The sequence below is a fragment of the Homo sapiens genome, chromosome 12 (assembly GCF_000001405.40).
Source record: "Homo sapiens chromosome 12, GRCh38.p14 Primary Assembly".
Lineage (NCBI taxonomy): Eukaryota > Metazoa > Chordata > Mammalia > Primates > Hominidae > Homo > Homo sapiens.
In genome coordinates, this window is record NC_000012.12 from 107,132,206 (window position 1) to 107,135,226 (window position 3,021).

The window sequence follows — 3,021 nt, forward strand, 5'->3', positions numbered from 1 at the left end:
TAATGGCTTAGCTTGCAGTCTTTTCATCCTGGAATCACAGGATCTGTAAAGGTTAGAGGAACCTTAGAAATCATCTCCAACACTCATGTTTTCCATGAGGAAGTTGAGACTGAAATGAAGGACTCAAAATCACCTAGGTAGTTCATAGCTCAGGCAGGACAAGAGCCTTAGTGGGCTTGCTTGACATCCAGTGTTTCCCAGTTATTGGGGAACACTGCAGGGCAGTGTGAGAGGGAAATGATAAGTGGTGTGTGGGGAGACAGTGGCCCTGCCTGGCCTGGGTTCAGGCAGAGCTCACTGACTGTGGGTGGACAACATTAAACATTAAGGATTTTCTCCCTCTATTCCCTATAGTCAACGATTGCCACCCTTGCAGGACTTACGACAAATGTCAGGTGCCGAGTCTTTCTCTTTGATATGGTTTGGCTGTGCCCCACCCAGATCTCATCTTGAATTGTAGCTCCCATAATTCCCACGTGTTGTGGGAGGGAACTGGTGAAAGGTACTTGAATCATGGGGTGGTTTCCCCCATACTGTTCTCATGGTGGTGAATGAGTCCCATGAGGTCTGATGGTTTTATAAGGGGTTTTGCTGTTTGCTTGGCTCTCATTCTCTCTTGCCTGCCGTCACATAACACCATGCCTTTTGCCTTCCACCATAATTGTGAGGCCTCCCTAGCCAAGTGGAACTGTGAATCCATTAAATCTCTTTTTCTTTATAAATTACCCAGGGTCAGGTATGTCTTTATCAGCAGCGTGAAAATGGATTAATACACTCTTCAAGCTAACTTTCCCTTATTTCTGCCAACCAAACCACCATTTCCCCCAACACTCAGATTTATAACTTAGAGTCCCTGTTGTCTAGTCCCTTTAGTATGGATTCCCTGTGTGCTTGGAAACATTCTAGGCTGCAGGGTACAGAATCGAACAAAATAGATAAAATCCTTGCTCTTATAAAGAAAACAGAAAATAAATAGAATAAATAAGTAAATTAATTAGTATATTAGTGATGAGTGCTAAGGAGGGGGGGAAAATCCAGAGTGGAAAGAGGGATGTAAAGTGTTAGGGATGGAATAGAAATTGGGTCAGAGAAGGCCTTACTGAGAAAGTCCCTGAGTCAGGAGCAGGCTTTGAATCTTAGGAACAGAAAGGAGACCAATAGACTATTTCTAAATTCTTACCAAGTGCAGATTTGTTTTTTCTTTCTCAATGTGTCCTCCTGATCCCCTATTTGTCCCTGTTGTGATCTCTTTAGGCAAGGTCCAAGCCGAAACTGAACAGATGAGGAGGAGTAAGCCAGGTGCAGGGAGTTGGGAGGGTGAAGAGAAGAGGGATAAGGAGAAAGTTCTAGTATGTGGTAAAGGCCTACTGTTCCTGAAGAGTCATCTTATGCCAGACTAGAGGACTTAAACTGTCCTTGGAATCCACATTTGTGGCCTTGGTGATTATTTCCCTACTCTACCTCTTGGGGTCCCATGTCACTATTTTCAGGCTTAGCTTTCCAAACCTGGACAATCTTTTAAGACCCAGTAAAAATGCCATCTTTCTTAGGCGTGGGCAAGAAGCCCATCTCCACATGCTCATTCCCTACTTTGAGTCCTATAACGTAATAGATTATGTCTTTCATTTGCTATTTAATAGTCCTCCCTTCGATTGGTTACTTATCTTTGACTCAGCTGTGTGTTGACATGACACTGTTGTGAGCCACAGAAAGCTGAAACGTCTCACCCACCTATGCAGATAGTGCTTTGCAGATTACTGTGTTGGGCACCTACAGTGAGAGAGGCAGCTTCCTCCTTTGCAAAATGAAAGTAGGAAAATCTGCCTCTGGAGAGTTGTAAGGATTACATGAGACACTGGAATGAAAGTCCTTAGTTCAGGGTTGGCTTCCATTGTAACCACTTAATAAAAGGTAATGGTGACTTGGTTGTCACTGAAAAGACCATTGGACTTATAGCTGAGCTGTTGGTTCTGCTACTTATTAGCTTTGTGACCTTGGACAAGTAATTTAACAGGATTCTTGGGTCTCTCTTTTCTCATCTGTAAAATGGGATAATAATAACTAACTTCAAAGAACAATTTTGAGGCTCAAATTTCTAACAGTGTGTATGCAATCAATTATCTGAAGGGTCTCAATCCCTTTGGGTATAATGCCATGAAGTAGTTTTATTTTCCCCAATCATTGCTTCCAACTGTGCTATGTTGTATTGCTCTTTTCCTGGGGATAGTGCTCCCTTGGTGATAGCTTGGACAGATTTAATAACTTCCTAGTCACCTTGTGGTGTGGGCAATCTTGTCTCAGAGTTTAAGACACAGCGCAGTTTATTTTCATGACCCCAATATCAAGCTTGATTAAAAGTTCTGTTCCTGGCCCCAGGTAGATCATTCTCTTTTGCAGCCCTGGGAGCCTGGAGTGGAAGACCAAAGACCAGAGATGGCTCTGAGGTCATTGCCCTGCCCCCATTCCCCCCTCCTCCCCCCAGTTCTTGTGTAATTGAGGGCAAGGAGGAAGGTTACAGGAAGCAGAGGTATTCTTCTGTGATTGCCCACAAGGCCACCAGGGGTAGGCAAAAGTTGTGCCTCTGGCTTCCCTCCAGTTCTATTTGGGTCTATCTGATGCTAGCGCCCTCTGTTGGAGTGGTGGTCTCCTCACAGGTGGTGTGCATGTTTTTCTTTGGAGTGGTATTGGGTCTCCTCTGCCACTGGGGACCACTTTCCCTGGTTGACATTCCATCATTTGGTCCAGGGGTCATCAGGGCTGCTCAAAGATTCCTGCTCTTCTTGCCTTGGTATTGCTTTACCCAGTGGAGACACAGAAATTTCCAAATTCCTCTTCTGCACCCTCTAAAGGCCACAGAGAACAGGTATGGAGTGGGCCTTCACTGTCTTCTTTCCAGCCACACCACACTGCACCATGGATATTTCCAGCCCTGTGGGTATGGGCTATCCCACCAAGATATCCAACTTCAGTAAGAAGTTAAGTAAGCACCAGTCTGTTTCCAAAGTCCCCCAAATACAAGAC

At 44.7% G+C, this 3,021-nt stretch overlaps 1 annotated feature.

Annotated features, from left to right (window-relative positions):
• Positions 2,366-2,660: an enhancer, noted in NCBI's record as "tiled region #11431; HepG2 Activating DNase matched - State 12:CtcfO, and K562 Activating non-DNase unmatched - State 13:Ctcf". NCBI's record gives its function as "activates a minimal TATA promoter and a strong SV40 promoter by Sharpr-MPRA in HepG2 and K562 cells {active_cell/tissue: HepG2 | K562}" and the evidence as "EXISTENCE:reporter gene assay evidence [ECO:0000049][PMID:27701403]".